This window comes from Homo sapiens, chromosome 20, assembly GCF_000001405.40.
Source record: "Homo sapiens chromosome 20, GRCh38.p14 Primary Assembly".
NCBI classification, from domain to species: Eukaryota; Metazoa; Chordata; class Mammalia; order Primates; family Hominidae; genus Homo; species Homo sapiens.
This window is the reverse complement of record NC_000020.11, coordinates 60,331,533-60,351,323: the sequence shown is the minus strand read 5'-3', so window position 1 is coordinate 60,351,323 and position 19,791 is coordinate 60,331,533. Positions and strand designations below refer to the sequence as shown.

Sequence of the window (19,791 nt, the reverse complement as noted above, 5' to 3'; positions counted from 1 at the left end):
AGCAACATTTTGAAAAAAGCTCGGTTTAACCCAAGGAGAAGTACCTGAGCCCTGGGAAATTATTCCAATCTAAAGAAGAACAAAATAGCCTGAGGATAAACACAAAACCCAAGGAATCAGAGGGAAGGAAAGGTGCAAAGACAGGCACAGAATGACTAGTGCCTCAAAAGAACTGATGATATTTGAAATACCTTCCTGGGCCCTGCTCCAAGCATAAAAAGAAAAATCCCCCATCATCAGAAGAAACAAAGAAATAAAGAGAATGGTGAGTCGTGGTGGAGAGAGCCTTTCTGGGAGAACAAAGACTTGTTTTTTTGTCTCAGGCAGCTCTGCTCTTAAACTCCAAGACCTTGGGTGTATCGAGACCCCGCCTTGGGCTCAAATTCACTTACTTGACAGGTTAGAAACTCGGAAATCTAAGGACTGGCCACAATGATAAAGTCAGAGTCAGGTGCATAGATACAGAGGCCTCTTTCTTTGTCTCTTATATTTATGTCCACACATCTAAATAGACATACCTTTTCCTCTCTCTACATGCCCATACACACGCACACACCCTGGAAGAATATAGGGACATACTCTGAAACATTACAAACCTCTTAGTAGTAAGAATTTGGGTGAGTTCAACAAGTTTCTGTCATATTAAAATGTTGATGTTATACTTTATTTTTGCATAAAGAAGAAAACAGTATTTTTTATTAGTCACGGTGGGCGAGGCTATGCTATAGTAACAAAAAGCTTCCTAACCACAGTGGCTCCAAACAGCAAAGGTTTATTTCTCCTCTAAGCAACATACCCATCATCATTTGAGTGAAAGGACTGCACCAGGGGACTCTCACCCAAGCAGGTCACAGGCTGAGTAGGTAGAGCCTTGTTGCTCCAAGCAGCAAAGAAGGGCAGAACTTTTTCAGTTCTCACACCAGAAGGATGTGCTCAGGCATGAAAGTAACACAGGTCAATCCACTCACAACTCATTACTAGGGTTGGTTACATAAACCCATCCAAGCATGGGGTAGGGTAGTGAGAACACCAGAAGTATAATCCTACCATATGCACAAGAGCCAGAAAGCTAGACAGGTTTAGCAATCCACACTAATGATTACTGCACTCTTTAATGAAAGGTTTAGCAATCCACACTAATGATTACTCCACTATTAATAACGTGTTACATGTATACGTGTCTGTGTTTCACACGCATGTGTGTGTGTGTAGATGGTAAGAGCTTTATCACAGGATTGGGCTCCAAGCAAATGTTTACAGGATTAAAAATTCCAGCCTGGGCAACATGGTGAAACTCTATCTCTACAAATATACAAAAATTTCCTGGGCATGCTGGCATGCACCTGTGCTCCCGGCTATCCAGGAGGCTGAGGTTGAAGGATCCACTGAGCCCAGGAGGCTGAGTCTGCAGTGAGCTGTTATTGCACCACTGCTCTCCAGCCTTGGTGACAGAGTAAGACCCTGTCTCAATAAATAAATAAATAAATAAATATTAAAAATAAATAATGACTTCAATCCGTGGACCCTTCTGCAGATTCAGGGTGGGGTCAGAGCCTCGACTCACTGGGAACTCATCAATGTCATGAGCACTTGCACTCCCTTAAGGAGCAGACTGGTGTGGATGAATGTTCGGTTTCAGGATCAGGTGGAGCGTTCCATCCTTGCCCACTTGTTCATTCGCTAACACACAATTACTGCGAGCCCAGCGCTGTCCAAGGTACTGGTGGGAGCGCAGCGGACCTCAGGGAGTTTGCATTCTACTGGAGACCTGGCAGCGCAAAAAAGAAAATTATTCAATAGGACACTTTCTGATGGGGATAAAGGCTCTGAAGAAGATTAAAGACGGTGATGGGTAGGTGGTGAGGAGGGGCAAGAATGGAAAGTTCTTTAGGTAGATAGGCAAAAGGCCTCTCTGGGGAGCTGACAAATGAAGGAGGTGCCAGAACAGGAAGGCCTGCAGAGCCACTCTGTATCTGCACCCATACCCAGGAAAGCGGGCCCCAGAAGGATGCCCTCAGCCCTCCTGAACCTGGAGGAAGAGCAGCCAGGCCTGCTGTGCTTGGTGAGCTCCCAGAACCTGTCTACCCAGGTGACTGCCCAACTGGGGCTGCAACCACTTCCTGCCAATTCTTGCCCTTCTCCCTTTCTCCTTAGGACCCTAGTCAAAGATGTGCAGGACCACGTGGTCAGTCATGAAGGAGCTTCGCTAACCAGCTTCCCCATACTTTGAGTCATTGTTGTCCATTTGAGACAAATAACCACGTGGTTTAGCCTTTTCCCAGGCAGCTTTCCATTCTAAAGAGGCACCTGCACATTAGAGCCCATGATGCATGGCATGGAGGCTGCTTAGAGCTTCTTTATGGCCTCATCAGCAGTAACTGGACGATCACAAAGCCTTCTTCTGTTTTTAAAAACAATGATTTATTGAAGCTCTTAAACTCTTTCTTCCTGAGTATGTATATTCCATGGGCATGTTTTGCTATAATTAAATTCCTAGATTACTGTCAAGCCAATTGTTTTACCCCGCCAATCTGTAACAGCACATTTTATTGCCTCTTCTTATTTTTTAATTAAGATAGAAATAGATGTATTCTATGAGATCCAGAAACAAAATAAAACAGACCACTTCTCTAGTCAGTCAACTCTACTCACAGGGATGCTTCGGAGTCAGGAGTTAGGAACCCTAAGTGTATTGTACCTAGTGTGGGAGCAGCCAGACTTTCTGAATTCATTCGTCCTTCATTCAACAGGTATTTATTGAGCACCTACTATGTGCCAGAGGCTGGAAAGGTCACCAGGGATTCAGTGGTGAACAAGACAAAGTTTGCCTACATTTGCCTACATTCTTCTAGGAGAGACATGTGATAAACAAGTCACCATCATACGTAAGATGCAATATTTTACGATGAAGAAAAGCAAACACGGTGTAGAATAGAAAGTGATGAAGGATGAGGACCATTAAAATCAAGTGACCACAGAAGGCCCTTCTGTAAAGATGGCAATTGAAATGAGGCCAAAGTTAGGCTGACACAGCCATGCAAAATCCAGGAAAGAACACTGATAGTACAGGGAATAGAAAGTGCAAAGACCTTGAAACAGGAAGGAACTTGGCAGACATTAGAAGTGGGCAGAGGGTGGGAAGAACACGAGGAGAGGATGTTGGAAAGCTGGAATGGAGTTGAATCTGCAGGACTGTAGGAAAGGAGTGCCTCCTAGGAGCAGATAGATGAGGAGGATGGGAAAAGAGGATCCATAAGCAGCAGAGACCCCAGCGCTGGCTACAACTTAGGACACACCTGTATGACACACCTGCCTTGCATCCCAGAGCTCCTGGCCAGTGATTCCTGGAGCCCAGGACAGCACCTGCAGCAGAGCCCCTGGACCTCTCAGGTCTTACCCTGGCACACAGGCACCTTTGCCTGATGGCAATGGCCAGGGCAGCCTCCTCAATGCTTGGTGCTGCCTAAAACCCTGCAACTTCTATGGGGCCTGCAGATGGGGGGTAATTCCTCAAAACTAATGAGGTTGCATTTTCCTCTTGCCAGGAAGGATGAAGACTCAGAGTTTTCATTCCTTGATATAAAGAAAATGAGGGCTTTCAGTATTCTATGTGCATGTGAATATGAGGATATTATTCAGCCCTGCTATATTTGTAGCTTCAATACCTAGAATGGTTCCTGGCATATAGTAGGTACTCCATCAATGATGAATAAATGAAAGGCTGACCTGGAAGGAAGATGTGGCCCTTTCCTGGCCCTTGCCACCCATCCCAATGTTACCTCACAGTCCAACATTCCTTCCCACATCTACTCTGCAGTGAGGGCTCTCTCGGAGCCCAGCACAGCACCTGCCCTTCTCTGGGTCCCTGCAGGGATGGCAACAGCATGGTCGGTGCCTGTCACGCTTCCCTCTGGACCCCTCCCTTCCCTGGGCCCTCTTGTTTCCTTGCTCCTCAGTCCTCCCTTGGAATTTAGCTGCAGTCTCTGTCCGTGGCACATGCCATGTTCTCCCCTCTAAGTGCTGCCAGGTTGCTCAGAGATTCAGTCTTGAATGAAGAGCTTCAGCCACTGTTGGGCCTGGACACTTGTGTTCAGACTACATCCAGTAAGGAGGCAGAATGAGGACCAGCGCCCTCTGGGCGACCTCTACACAGCTGTCAGTCTTCATGCTGTTATCTCTGGGTTTGCTACTGGATGGAGTAGGGAAAAGACAGTGACTTAAACCAAGGGCCTTGTGGTGATGCAACTTTGGGGCAAAACATCTAAAGACAGTGAGATCTCGTGCACATCCTTCTCCCTGTGATGCCTACAGAATGTCTCTCCATCTCAGGCTTGATCACACAACTAGAAGGTCTCCTTCTAGCCTCAGTGGGTGCCAGCCTCCAGGAAGTAGGAGCGGGGAGATGAAGCTTGTCCATTCTAGAAATGCAGACACTGGGGTGACCAACTACCCCAGTTTGCCTGGGACTGTGAGGTTTCCCAGGACACAGGACTTTCTGTGCCATAACTGACATTTTCTTTAGAGACAGGATCTCGCTCTGTCATCCAAGCTGGAGTGCAGTGGTGTGATCACAGCTCACTGCAGTCTCAACTCCATGGGCTCAAAGGGTCCTTCCACCTCAGTCTCCCAAGCAACTATAACTACAGGCATGCATCACCACACCCAGCCTAGTCAGTCATCTTAATACATTTACATATTGTGTGTGCGTGTTTGTGTACGTATGTATACACGCTAGTTATATTCTTAGGCAAATCTCCAATGCTGCAGTGGAGGTGAGTCTTCAGTGCAGGTGAGTCAATCCCGGCTGGCTAAAGTAGGCTGCTCTATGCTCCTTTCCTCATGGAGAAGAGGGGATGGACGCTAAGTGGTCCACGACATAAAAGAACTGAAGCTTTTCACAAACCTGCTGTCACAGAACTGCTCAAATGGGTCCAAAGAAAACTGGAACCTGCAGAATGCCTTTCCATCATGTTCTTGGACAAAATATAAAGCACAGAGAGGTGTGTGTGTTTGTTTTATATTTTTAAAAATGTATTTGGAGCTCAACCTAAGTGTTCATGTCTTCATGCTGGGAGGCAGTGGGAAGAGTTTCTCTCCTTAAGTCAATTCTCTTTTCCATTTAGGGCCTATGTTTGTTCTGGATGTGGCCACTTTCAAGGACCCAGCAGGCTTTTTTGTCAAAGTGAAGATACCTTCCTGCTTATCTACTTTTTCTTCTATGTAGAAGGTTTCCTGAATTCTGAGCCATATTTTCTGATGGTACTCATCCTGCTCTTAGCATTGAAAATCTCAGGTATCTCGTAAGAGAGGGCCTTGTGGACACAAATGCTGACCCACCTGCATGAGATGGGCTGACATGAGGAATTTATGTCACTTCTGAAAATACAGATGAACCTGGAAGACCTTATACTAAGAGGATTAAGCCAGGTACAAAAAGAAAAAACACTGCATGACCTCCCTTCTCTGTGGAACCTAAAACAATCAAAACACATAGGAGCAGAGAACAGAATAGTGGTTACCAGGGGCTGGAGCGTCGGGGAATAGGAAGATGCTGGTCAAGGATGCAATGTTTCAGTGAGAGGCGAAAGGATGTTTCAGTGAGGCAAAAGGAGAAAATACACATTTGAAGTGATAGATATGTTAGTGAACTTAATTCAAGCATTCCACATGGCATACACATGTCATGACATCACTTTGTATCTCGTAATATATATAATTATAAATATAATCTCATAAATATATACAATTATAATTTGTTAATATCCAATAAAAATAAATTAACAAATAAAAAGCTAGCTATGTGGTTGTCCAGGTCCTAAGGAAGTGAGGACACCCGTTGTGGCCAGGCTGAAGTCCTGACACTGGCAGGCCCCAGCCTGAAGAGCCACGGTGTTATCTGGGGAAGGAGCCCCAGGGCCCAGCACAGACTGCAGCACCTCAGTGCACAAGGAACCGCCTGATATGCCGGAGGTCAGCCAGATGCTCTGCTGTTGCAGTTCCAAAGTAAAACAGATGGGGGTGGGGGCTGCAAGCCTGCAGTGGCAGAGGCCAGCCCTCAAGGAATTTTGACAAATCCATCACTCAAACGGCACTGAGGTGCTTGATCATAAAGGTGAGATGTATCACTATAGAGGGACATGAGTATTTATTATTTAGATGGATAAAGACAAGCCTGGAAAGAGCAAAAGCATCTTAATTTTGGTCTTGCCTGAGTGCAGAAGTTCAGGTCTCCCCAGGGAGGCTTCAGCTGGGTGGCTTGTTTGAACTTCCACAAAACTGCACATTTCACGTTGGAAAGCAAGGGGTGAAAATAAACAAAGAGGTGAGTTTAGAAAGTTCTTGTTGTTGGGCGCGGTGGCTCATGCCTGTAATCCCAACACTTTGGGAGGCCGAGGCAAGCAGATCGCAAGGTCAGGAGTTCGAGACCAGCCTGGACAATACAGTGAAACCCCATCTCTACCACAAATAAAAAAAAAATTTAGCCAGGCATGGTGGCGTGCATCTGTAATCCCAGCTACTCCAGAGGCTGAGGCAGAAGAATTGCTTAAACCCGGGAGGTGGAGGTTGCAATGAGCCAAGATCACACCACTGCACTCCAGCCTGGGTGACAGAGAAAGACTGTGTCTTGGAAAAAAAAAAAAAAGAGAAAGAAAGAAAAGAAAGAAAGAGAGAGAGAGAAAAGGAAGGAAGGAAGAGAGAGAGAGAGGAAGGAAGGAAAGAAAGAGAAAGAAAGAAAGGAAAGAAAGAAAGAAAGAAAGAAAGAAAGAGAAAGAAAGAAAGAAAGAAAGAAAGAAAGAAAGAAAGAAAGAAAGAAAGAAAGAAAGAAAGAAAGAAAGAAAAGAAAGAAGGAAAGAAAGAAAGAAAGGAGAAAGAAGAAAGTTCTTGTCACCTATATACATGGTGACTGATCAGGAAAGAGGGGAGAAGAGGGTCTGTTTTCTATGGAGCTGCAGCTGTGTCACTGCAGTAGGGCAGCCTCCGAAACCCCTGCTGGAAGCCAAGACTCTGCACTGGCAGTCCTTGGGCCCCCACTCAGCTCTCTTGGCCCCACTGTCCTTGTGTGTAGAATGGGAATAGAAATTCTAGTACTTAAAGTGGTCATTGTACAAAATAAAAGAAACAGTTTAAGTAAAGTGCCTGTTACATTGTAAACATACAATAAATGCTAGTTATTCTTTTCACTCCTTTGATCTACTAATATTTTTTTACTTGATGGATATATTTCCTTCCAACACAATACTTATCTTGTCTATATTTTTATAGTCATGGTTTATTTACAGAGATGTTTCTTATAATCAGAAAAGAGGCATGCAGTATTCTTAAGTTTATCTCTCCTCGTTCTTAGGGCTTCTTGGAGACAGAGTTGCATTGAGACCTGAGCAGGAATTTTTTACCTTCATAAGCACATGGGTGATCACCTCCCTGGACCCACTGTGGACTAAGGCTAGCTGGGTCATGGCACACCAGAGGGTGTCACTGAAGCAGGGAAGACGAGCTAAGGTAAAATGTTTCATTACTATTAGAGATACAGGGAAAGAATCCACAATTTATAAATAGAAAAGAAATATGGGTATGCTGGCAGGTGTACCTTATTGTATACTGTCTTGATTAGTTTCTGGAAACCTTTTCAGATGTCTTATGTTAATTGTAAGGGCTCATGCCAAAGTACTCAAATCTTATTTTCTCCTTCCCTGCCACATATCTCTCTAGGCTATTTCTCTGACATAGATCTTTGTAGACAATGCAAACTCTTCAATGTGTCTATTAGCAAAGTCTTCAAAGGCCACCATTTCTTCTTTTTTTTTCTTTTCGTGGCTTGTACCCTTCAGCATGCTGAGCTTTTGATGTCAGGTATCAATTTTTAACTTTTAATTTTGTCTCCACAAAGTCATGTAAAGAGAAATACAAAGGTTAAAATAATACTTCTCATAAGCATACAGCTACAGATTTCATGGCTAAAAATGGAAAATTAATAGTACCTTTCTCTTTTAACTCTTAAAGTGATAACCACTTCTTGACTTCTGCCTTTCAATGAGGTCCTTTGGGAAGAGGGTTTGGCTGCAGTTGTACAGATTCAGCTTCTAGGACAGGAGTCCTTCTTCCCTGGGACATAATAGTGCTAAATAGAAAACACCCCTTTTTAATGTAATGCTTATTTATTTATTTATTTATTTATTTATTTATTTACTGAGACAGGGTCTCACTCTGTCACCCAGGCTGGAAGCGCGGTCGCACCATCTTGGTTCACTGCAGCCTCGACCTCCTGGGCTCAAGCCTCCCAAGTAGCCTGGACTACAGCACGCACCACCATGCCTGGCTAACTTTTTGTATTTTTGTTGATATGGGGTTTTGCCATATTGCCCAGGCTGGTTTTGAACTCCTGAGTTCAAGCCATCTTCCCACCTCAGCCTCCCAAAGTGCTGGGATTACAGGTGTGAGCTACCGTGGCTGACCAATGCTTTTGGATGAATGTCTAACATCTGTTTTTCATCCGTTAAAGATTTCAAATGATTGGTGGGACCTCCTAGTGCCATCAGGGAGAGGTTAGAGAGGTGGGTAAGGAATTTATCCTGGTTGGTTTTTTTGTAGCTAGTCCGTCAAAGGTTCTCAGATTGGATAATGAAGGGGCCAGAGGAAAGCCTCCCTGCTCTTGCTTCTGAATCGCCATGTCTTTCTAGAGGTCTTGGGATTCCATGTAGGAGTAGGCTCTGGGACCACAGAGGATGGAGAGGAGAGAGGGGAGGGGTTGAGGAGAAAGATAGGAAATGCAAGTGCCAAGGTGGAAGGGCCCCAGGGCTTTTCAGAGTGGAGGCGCTTTAATTGTCAGGCACCTAGGTCTCATATAGGAAAGCCCTCCAACTCCCTCCATTGTCAGTAAAGCCTGTGACACACACAGATGTTTTGTGAGTGAGTGAGTGTGTATATGTGTGTGTGAATCAGATGACAAGAGCCTGATTTTACATTTAAGTCAGAAGAGAGAGACAAGAGCAAGTGAGATTTGGAAAAGAGAAACCCAGCCCTGAAGTGGACTGTAAGGAAGTAAATTCCCAGGGTGTGCAGAAATTTCAGAGCTGACGGGAGATAGGGGGCTGGAGGCAACATCTGGGGTGCACCCAAACAACCTTGGAGAATGCTGGGATGAAGGTGACCAGTGAGTAAAAGGCAGAACTGGGCTCTTAGCCCATATCTGTTGGACTTAGGTTATGAATATAAATATAATAATCATGATAATGACCATCATTAATATGGTTAAACCTGGACTTGTAATCTTCAGAACAGCTCTAGGACATGGCTCTAAGATGACTCTCACTTCAGACACGAACGCAAACACTCTGAGAGCTTAAGAAACCTGCAGAAACCGAGCAGTGAATAAGAACCTGAGCTGGGATTCAAACCTGGATCCATCTGATCCCAGAGTTCTTGAGTTCTTGCTTTTTTTTTTTTTTTTTTTTGAAACAAGATCTTGGTCTCTCACCCATGCTGGAGTGCAGTGGTGTGATCAGAGCTCACTGCACCCTCAACCTCCTGGACTCAAATGATCCTCCCGCCTCAGCCTCCCAAGTAGCTGGGTACTACAGGCGCACACCACCATGTCCAGCTTTTTTTTTATATATTTTTTATATTTTTTTATAGAGACAGGGTCTCTCTATGTTGCTCAGGTTGGTCTCAAACTCCTGCCCTCAAGTGATCCTCCAGCCTCAGCCTCCCAAAGTGCTGAAATTGTACACATGAGCCACTACGCCCAGCTTCTTGCTTCTTCTTAACCTCTTGCTTTACCTGAATGCAGATTAAAAGCTCTGTGTTGGGTTAAGTGGATAAGGATAAGCGAAAAGTCTCCTGTATACCTTGTTAACATTGTGCATTTTATTAATACTGTCTAATGGGCAGGTTGGCTGCCACCATCAGATGTTAAATAAATAAGTACAAACAGCATCCTGATATAAACATCATCTGCCAGCTTTGACAGTTGCTCTGAAATTGCTCTCAGAGTGCTTGGAGATGGTAGAAGACACAAGAAAATCAGCAGAAAGCTTTCCGGATTGAGCCTTTGATCTCAGCAGGGCTCAGATCAAGGTCCACCACGCGTACAACGCCTTGGTTTAACCAGCGCCTGAAGGATTAACACAGAACAAAAGCTCAAAGCACACTACCTGCGTAATTTCTAAATGAACACATTTGCTGCTGTCTCTGTATGTTGCAGGGTTTACACTGAGGTTCATTACTTCTCTGCCTTACTATAGACGGAATATTTATGCATTTTTCAGCACAGGCTACTTCTCCTCTTGCATAATAATTCAGTAGAAAAACGGGGCAGAGGAAAAAAAACGAGAAAAAAAATCTGGTTAGTTTTTATGTTTTGTTTTGAATAGATTTTTAAGAATTAGCAAATTTAGCAGCTGGACCTAGAGGAGAAGGTGGGCCCTTTCGGGTCAGAAGGCCTGCATTTGAGCAGTTCAGTGTTCAGGTAACCCCGAGCATATTTTCCACCAGTCCCAGTTTCCTGATCTCTGGATTTCCAGCCCAGCACTCTTGTTGCTACCACTTACTGCACAGATCTCTGCATAACTATGTGAGCAGACACTTAGCGAGCAGGGCCATGTGCTTGTGATAAGAGACTAATCAGGTAGAACCAACACCATTGCAAGAGGTTTCCAAGGGGAGAGACCTCTGTGGGCTGGTGGAGACACCTGTGAGGGCAGGAGCTCCAGACAGCCTTTCTTTGCAGGTCCTCTGCCCCACTCACAAATCTGTGTCCCTTGCAGTCTTGTACCTTCCCAACTGAAGGAACTGCCATTCTCAATGACTCAAACCAAACAGTGGGAGACTGGTCAATGCACAGGCCTCAGGTTTCTCCTCCCAGCCAGCAGGGGGAAGCAGCTGGACCGTACATGAGGCCTCTCACCTCGGCCATGACCTCGCACTGGTGACTAGGGGTCAGCCCATTGTGGGAGTATTTACACCATGGAAATCGGCAAACCCTAACACTAAGGGCTTTGTTTATTCCAGAGAGCTGGCTTACTGGCACACCACTTATGTACCCCAAATTGCTTTACCTCTCTCCATCCCCACTGAGACAGGAGTAATACAGGGTGGTCAGGTGGTCACCGGAGACTAGAAACTTCCAGGCAGCAGTGTCGCATGATTAGCAAAAGGAAACTGCTGAAATAGCTGCAGAAGAGAGGGGCCAATGGGACCCTGAACAACAGGATGTGGGCCACGCTGGCTAAGACCACTGGACCCAGCGTGGCACTGGATTTGACCTAGGTTTCACCTAGGACCTCATTATATGCTCATTAACATTCTGAGTCACACACCCATCAGTGCCAGGACAATTCTGGGAACACACATGTTTGGTGTAAAAACGGGTGGCAACACAGTTTTGAGAAACCTTTACATTTTTCTAGGAATTTTCATGAATATTCCACCCCCCGTTAGAGAAACCCATAAAGATGGAAGTCCCAAGTTGCCTCGGGTGTGACTCTCTTGAGTATTCCTGAACTCCCGTCTTGAGTGCAAGCTTTTCTCTTCACAATAAATCTCTGTAGTTTTTTCCAACTCATCCTTGAATTCCTTCACATGACAGCATCAAGAGCCTTGACACCGGCCGGGGTCGAGGTCTCACTGGCATTTGGAGACCTCCCCTAGCCCGCTGGTATCACCACCGCAACCATCTGAGTCCAGCCTGCCATCAGCCCTCACCAGGATAACTGCACTAGTTAGCTTCCCCCACTCCTGCCCCTTCTAGTTCACTCCACTACAGCTGAAGAGGAGTCTTAAACCTAAAATGGGCCATAGGTCACATCCGTACTTAGCTTCTTATCAAACTTAGAAGAAAATCCCAAACCCCCACCTGTCCTGCAGGACTCTGCATGATTCAGTTCTGTTCACCTCTTCCCCTTCTCCCCTAGGATCCCCGGGAGGAACCGCACTGACTTCTACTCCGTGCTGGACCATCCCATTTCCTCCCAACCTCAGGACCCTTGTCCTCATCCTCTCTCTGCCTGGCTTAAATGCAACCTCCTCACAGAGATCTTTCTGGACCAGCATTCTGAGTAAATGACCTCCCATGTCAGCACCAGTTCATCTCTATTAGTCATGATTTGGGCTTATTTATAGCCCTTGTGCATTTTATAACTCTACTTGTTCATTATTGTCTTATAGTGTGTTCTCTCTCAACAAACTGTAATCTCCCAAAGGACAGGATCCATCTGTTTTGTTCACCCAGATGTCACCAATGCCTGGTACCTAATACACTCTCAATTGGTATTTGTTAAATAATCAGGGGATAAATAAGCATGCTTGTTTTCAGAGCAGATTTAAGAGAATAAGAGCTCTGAACTTAGGGTCTAAAGTGAGGCTTCAGGAAAGTAGAACCCCTTTGAAATCATGTGGAAAATATCTTGTCTGTGGATCTTTCCTTTTCAGTCCTTTCAAACTGTTGTGCTCCGAAATCAGCCACCTATAGTAAAAACTGCGTGGGGGCTCGTGTTGTTTGGACAGCAGTTACATTGGAATCAGCCTCCACATGGCTCTTCACTGCCTCGTTGACGCTCTACTCAGTCATGGGCGCAGCAACAATCAACAACGCTCCAACAAGGACCCTTCACCATTGTTTTCATAACTGTTCTTTGTAAGTCAGTGAGTTCTTTAGTCCTGGTCAGATGTCTCCTGGCACCTACAACTCTGAAGACAGTGTGCAGAGGCGCACAGGACAAATGTGCTTCTGAAGAAACAGTTCAGGGTATGCACATTCCCTGAGGATGTGAGCTCCTATTGTATTCAGCAGAGCCAGAGAGATCTGATGTTATTCAGTCTTTTCAGGCCTGCGGCCCCCCAGGCCTTATGGGATGTGGGATGGGGATCCTGATGGCCCAGGGGATGACTTAGAGTCCAAGAGAACACTGCATAGAGAAGCAGCTGCTGGCTGGTCCCCTTCATGGACTGCTCTGCCTCTTAGATCGATGCTTAATGCCCATATTGATTGCAATTGGTTTACTGACTGAAATCAGCAGTTCCAGAAGATGTGGTAAACATTCCCAAATGAAGAGGAAGAGGAACCAATCTGTGCAGAGGCGCGCACACGCGCGCACACACACACACACACACACACACACACACAAGGTTTTCTCTGAAATCATAAAATGTTTATCACAATAGCAGATAATGGAGTAGCATTATCTTCAGAACACAAAGGTACCAGTTAAATCTGTTGGGCAAAATGTCCCCCACCGCTAGGGACACACACAGAAGCTCAGAGCCAAATCTCCTCTGTTGTTTTGATTTCCTACCTCTGTGATTACAGAAACTGCAAAGTCTTGACTGGGGGTGGCAGAGAGAGCTCATCTATTAAAAAGTACTTTTTAAAAAATCAGAAAAATAGAGAACAGAACCCAGGAGGGACTAATTATAATGCATCTCCAGACATGGGTGGAAGAAGAGAGAAAGCATTTTGCCAAACCAACAGATCTCCCGACATGTAGACCTCTGAGGTCCAGCTATGATTCCCTGTGAACAGGCAAAATCGAGATGCTTTTCTAGAAAACATCATGCCACATCACAGGTCAGTTCTTCCCAGCAGAAAATAGATTTTCACAATAATTTAATTTTAATATTTCCTTGTGTAAACTGGATATTCTGAGACTCAACCCTGTATTTTTGAATACTTGATGGGTATGAAGGGAGACATGCTGCTATTTTTAAGCTTGCAGAAATTTTTGAGTTTGTCCTTAGGAGGAATATCAGTCCTTTATTTCAGAAAAAAAAATTAACCAAAAAAAAAATCACAAAGCACTTCAATGAGCCTTTTGATTTGGCAAAGAGGAATCCCAAACCCTGCGGAGGAATGAAGAGATTCTGATCAGTGAGAAGTGAAATCATGCTGCACGATCATCTGAAGAGCTGTCAGCTCTTTGGACAGAATTCACCTGGAGTTGGTGGTGTGTCTCGGGAGCTGGGCTTGGTATTTGAGTTTGTGTGTATCGGGCTCGGGCTGCAGAGGTCTTTCTGTTGTTTCCCAAAGATTTAAGGTGGTCAGACCCATAGTAGGAGTTAGGATTCAAGATGCTTCTGTTGATGGCAGGTGGGACGTGGGATACAGTCCTGGAGAGTCGGTGTAGAAACCTGGTGTCCGGTTGAGGGTTTAGGAGAAGCACGTCTCGTGAAGACCGACTTCTATGATGGAACTTGGCTTAAAATCATAGCCTTCCTTCAACTTCTTCCTGTCCCTCCCACCTTTCCATGAAGTTGTGATAAATACCAAAATAGCATGATTTTAATCCTATTTTGAGAAACTAGGAGAGGCACTTAATCCACATTTAGGATAAATAAATACAAGGATGCTACACACCTACTAGAGTGCCCAAAACCCAGGACACCGATGACACCAAATGCTGGCAAAGAAGTGGAGCAACAGGAACTCCCATTCACTGCTGGTAGGAATGCAAAAGAGTTAAGCTCCTTTGGAAGACATTTTTGCAATTTCTTACAAAGCTCAACACACAATAGTCTTCTTTGTCCACAGTTTCACTTTCTGCTGTTTCCGTCAACCATGGTGTGAAAAAAAAACTGGAAAATTCCCCAAATAAACAATTCATAAGTTTTAAATTGCATCCCATTCTTCATAGCATGATGAAATCTCTGGCTGTCCTGCTCTGTCCCACCTGGGATGTGAACCATCCCTTGTCCGGGGTCTCCACACTGCCTATGCTGCTTGCCCCTCGGCTACTCAGTGGCTGTCTCGGTAATCAGATTGACTGTCACAGCCTCACAGTGCTAGTGTTCAAGTAACCCTTATTTTACTTAATAGTGGGCCCAAAGGGCGAGATTATTGATGCTGGCAATTCAGATATGCCAAAGAGAAGCCATAAAGTGCTTTAAGTGAAAACAGGAAAGCTCTAGACTTAATAAGGAAAGAAAAAATATGGTATGCTGAGGTTGCTAAGACCTACAGTAAAAACGAATCTTCTATCCACAGAATTGTCAAAAAGGAAAAAGAAATTCATGCAGTTTTAGTCATCTACTGTGGGTCTTGGGACTTGTCCCCGTGGGATAAGGGAGTACTGTGGTCTTACCATACAATCCAGCAACCTCAATCTTTGGTAATGACCTAAATGAGATAAAAATGTATGGCCACGCAAAAACCTGCATATGGATGTTCATGACATCTTCATTCATTATTGACAGAACTCGGAAGCGACAGTGATGTTCTTCAGTTCGTGAATGGATAAACAAACAGTGATGCATTCAGACAATGGAGTTAGTGTTTGGAAGAAACTTTTTTTTTTTTTTTTTTTTTTGAGATGGAGTCTCACTCTGTCACCCAGGCTGGAGTGCAGTGGCACGATCTTGGCTCACTGCAACTTCCACCTCCCAGGTTCAAGCAATTCTCCTGCCTCAGCCTCCCAAGTAGCTGGGACTACAGGCACGTGCCACCATGCCTGACAAATTTTTGTGTTTTTAATAGAGACGGGGTTTCACCATGTTGGCCAGGCTCGTCCCAAACTCCTAAATTCAGGTGATCCGTCCGCCTCGGCCTCCCAAAGTGCCGGGATTACAGGCGTGAGCCACTGCAGCCAGCCTTGGAAGAAATTTAAATGCATGTTACTAAGCAAGAGAAGCCAACCAAAAATGCTACATACTGTATTACTTCAAATATGTGGCATTCTGGAAAAGGCAAAACTTTTTGGAGACAGAAAAAGGATCAGCGGTTGCCAGGGTTTAGAGGGAGGGCAGGATGCATAGGTGGCACACTGAGGATATTTAGGGCAGTGAAACTGTTCTGCATGACACGGTAATGGTGGATGCATTCCATTATACATTTGTCAAGACCTATAGAAGGTCTACCACCAAGAGTAAGCCCTACGTAGACTATGGACTTTGGGTGATAATGACCTGTCAATGTAGGATTAGCAATAGTAACAAATGCACTGCTTTGGTGAAGGACACTGATAATGGAGGAGGCTGTGCACATGTGGGAACAGGGTATATATGTGGGGAATCTCTGTATCTTCCACTCAATATTGTTATGAGTCTAAAACTGCTCTAAGAAACAGTCTATTCTTTAAGAAATAGGAGAAAAGAGGAGAAGAAAGAGGGGGCGGGGGAAACAGGGAGATCTGTAGGCTCCTGCGGAAGGTCATTGCAAAATACTGGTGATTCCAGGGAAGGTTGGAACAGCCTCTTTCTGAGAAAAAATGAGTGTGGCAGATGTCAGCAGATACAATCATCCTCTGCCGCCTGCTGCTCTTCCTTTATTCTTGGGTCTCTGAGCTTCTCTTTCTTGTCTGAACCCCTTTGCACACAAGGATTAGCCAATCAGAATGCTTTCTCCCACTGGCAACAGTGAAGACTCCATCCTGGAGAATCAGAACCTTCTCTAGGATTTTTGTTGAACTTTCAACTGTTGGTTGAAATGGTTGCCGTGGAGATGGTCTCAGCCTAGAGCGGCTGCTGTTCAGCTTTGGCCCCTGAAGGGAGAACACATCTGAGGATGAAGAATGGTTGAGGCATTTGTTCCTCTGGTTTTCTCTCTGCTCCAGTGCAGTAGGTTGGCCTTGCCCTTCTTCTGAAGCCCCCGTTTCCATCGGGTGGCTGGTTTCATGCAGCTGTGGCTCCTCACAGATTCCCTCTCTCAGTTGCCATAACTGCTACCCTCCTTGCTCCTACAGGCACTGGGGCAGAAGTGGTTCCTCCATTATTAGCAGCCCAGGGTTCTTTCAACCTGCCTACATCTGGAAAATACCTCCTTATCAAACTCTTCATCACCAGTGTCAGTTCATGGTCAGTTTCTTTCCTGAGCCCTGACCCACACCCAGGGAAAGGCCAACCTTCCGTGGCCAAGATGAAGCCTCTTCCACTGTCAGCTGGGCACTTCTAGGGGCTGTGAGCGCTGAAGAATGGAGAGATTCAGGCCATGTGTGTGGCTCTACCTCCTGAGAAACAGGCGTTATCAGGCCTGGGCTTTGCTCACAGCACCTGCCGGCTCCTGGGAAGAAGCCACATCTGCCTCGAACTGCCCTGACTGCCTTTGTTACGATACCTACCCGTGGCTTGCTTGTGCCAACTCTGAAAACACAGGGCTGCCTGAGGGAGCTCTCGTGTTAGCAAGCAGCAGCTCGTGGGTAAGGAAAGCCCCTTCATTTATTAACATTAAAGTGATTGCAAACTCGTAGGTGAGATACTTATGCATTGGGCTCTGTCTGGATAATTCACCTGTATTAACTCAGCCGATCCTCTTAACTCCATAAGGAAGGAATCCTTATTGTCCCCATCTTAAAGACCTCCGAAACGAAACCAGAGATACTGAATGATTTGCCTGGGATGACTCCGCTACCACTTGGCACAGCCACGGTGCAAACCCAGTTGGGCTGGCACTGAACACCCAGACTGTAGATCCCTCCTGCCTGACTCAAGAGCCTCTGTCTATATGGAAGCAATCAACTTAAGGTGCTGGCAGCTGATAAAGACTTGATCTCTAACTTCTCTCAGATATCTACATCTAACTTAGTTTGGGACAAGGGATAGCTTGCTGGGGTCAGCAAACTATGGCTTGTGGGCCAAATTGGGTCTATTGCCTGATTTTTACAAATAATTTATTGAAGTGAAATTCATATAACATTAACCATCCTAAAGCCAGCAATTCAGTGGCACTTAGTACATTCCCAGTGTACCCCTCTATCTAGTTCCAGGCACTTCCAACACTCCAAATAAAACTCTCTTATGGACTCAATGCTCATGTTCCTGTGAAATTCATACACTGAACCTTCATCTTCAGTGTGATGGTGTTAGGAGGTGGGGCCTTTGGGAGGTGATTCAGTCATGGGGGTGGGGCCCTCTGAATGGAATGGGTGCCTTTATGAGGGGCTGCAGAGGCTGGAGTTCTCCCCTTCCCCCATGCAAGGACACATGCAACATCATCCATGAGCCAGAAAGTGGGGCCTCCAGACACTGAATCTGCCGGTGCCTTGATCTTGGACTTGGCAGACTCCAGAACTGTGAGAAATAAACTCCCGTTGTTTACAAGCCACACAGGTTATAGTGTTTTGTTATAGCAGCCCAAAGGGACAAAGACAGACCCTTCAACCCTTCTGCAGCCCCTCCCCATCCTACGGCCTGACTTGTAAATAATGTTGTCTTGGAAAACAGCCGCACCCATTTGTTCATTGATTGTCTATGGCTGCTTTTGTGCTACGGTGGCAGAGTTGAGTAGTTGAGTAGATACAAGAGAGACCTGTGGTGATATTAGGTTATCTATAGATATATAAAACATATATGATAACTATATATACATATGTGTGTGTGTGTGTACGTATATATATGTATACATCGAGAGAGAGAGGTTTTCATTCATGGCTCATAACTCCCATAGCCTTTCTTACTACCTTGTGTGCTTTAGGCCTCAGGAACAGGCCTAGAAACAGAATCTGTCTCTCTGATCTTCCCCTTCCCTCCTTTCACTTGCTTCCTTTTCTCCCCAAAGCAGGAATCTTCCCCTGCCTCTCTGGGAACTAGCAACAAAAATATTTTCTGACCTATTTTGTCTAATTACAGGTCACAAGAGGCCCATTTCAGAATGGGTTCTGTCCCACACTCTGGAGGAAGGAATGCTGTATGAGGAGGCCTAGAAGAATCTGAACAGACAGGCTTTACTGGAGTTCCCCACTCGGCCCGTTAGTATTAGACCAGATCTTTTTGTCCAGTCACATTTCTACGTGGTTGCCTATCAAAGAAGTCTCTATAAAAAGTCCAAGAGAACAGGGTTTGGGGAGCTTCCAGGAGGCAGGAAGGTGAACAAGAATTCATCCACATGCCAGACAGCTGGTGCATCCCAAATCCATGGAGACAGAAGCTCCTGCACTCAGACCCTTCCAGACCTCACCCTACATGTTTCTTCATCTGGCTGTGTATTTGTATCCTTTGAAATATCCTTTGTAATAAACTGTTAAACATAAGTTCTGTGAGTCACTCTAGCAAATTCACTAAGCCCAAGGAAGGGCTTTTGGGAACTCCAATTTACAGCCCCTCGGGCAGAAGCCCTGGTAAAACAACCCGGGGCTTGTGATTGGCACTGAAATTGGGTGGGAAGCAGTCTCGGGGACTCAGCCCTCAACCTGCGGGACCTGGTGCTATCTCCACGGAATTGCATTAGAGGACACCCAGCTTGGGCCTGCTGCAGAACTGATTGCTTGCTTTGTGTGTATGGGAAACCCCTCCCTGCCACATTTGATCACAGAGGTCTTCTGTGTTGATTGTTGTGAGTGACAGAATAGAAAAAGCACTTTCATTGAGTTCTTGTGTTCCACTCAGACCTGCCAAGCTGAAAATATTTACAGTCTGGTGCTTTATAAAAACGCGTAATGAGTTAGAGCACCAGCTTAGATATGGGTTGGAGTCCTGGCTCCTTACTGCGCCAAATGACCTTGAGTGGGTTCCCTCGCCTTTCTGTGCCTCCCTATCCTCCAATGTAAAGTAGGAGCAAATCAGTGCCCTGCCTGCAAAGCACTTAGCATGGTGCCCAGGCGTGGCAGGCACTCAATCAATGACAGTCAATGCTATTATCTTGACCGACACGACCTTATTTGATCTTCCAAACTACCCAGTAAAGCATTATCCCCATTATCTCCATTTCTCTGATGAAGGCAGTTGGCTTAGAATAAATCAGAACTTGCGCAGGTTAAAAGTGAGTGACTGGCACAGCCATGGCAAGGGGCCTTGGACTGATTTTCTTCATTTTCTTGCTGTCTACACCCACTGGGCAAGCAGCAGCGTGAAAGAAAATGAAGTCCACCAACC

The 19,791-nt window shown here is 45.4% G+C and overlaps 1 long non-coding RNA gene across 3 annotated transcripts; it reads left to right on the top strand.

Annotated features, from left to right (window-relative positions):
* The first annotated feature begins 7,206 nt into the window (after positions 1-7,206).
* LOC105372697 (uncharacterized) lies at positions 7,207-18,632 on the top strand. Of its 3 annotated transcripts, none has more exons than XR_007067686.1 (3): positions 7,207-16,542; positions 16,668-16,779; positions 18,550-18,632. It is a non-coding gene; the product is annotated as an uncharacterized LOC105372697 (long non-coding RNA). The 3 variants fall into 3 exon arrangements; XR_007067684.1 differs by having other exon boundaries at positions 7,207-16,546; XR_007067685.1 differs by lacking the exon at positions 18,550-18,632 and adding an exon at positions 17,248-17,722 and having other exon boundaries at positions 7,207-16,546.
* Positions 18,633-19,791: the final 1,159 nt, after the last annotated feature.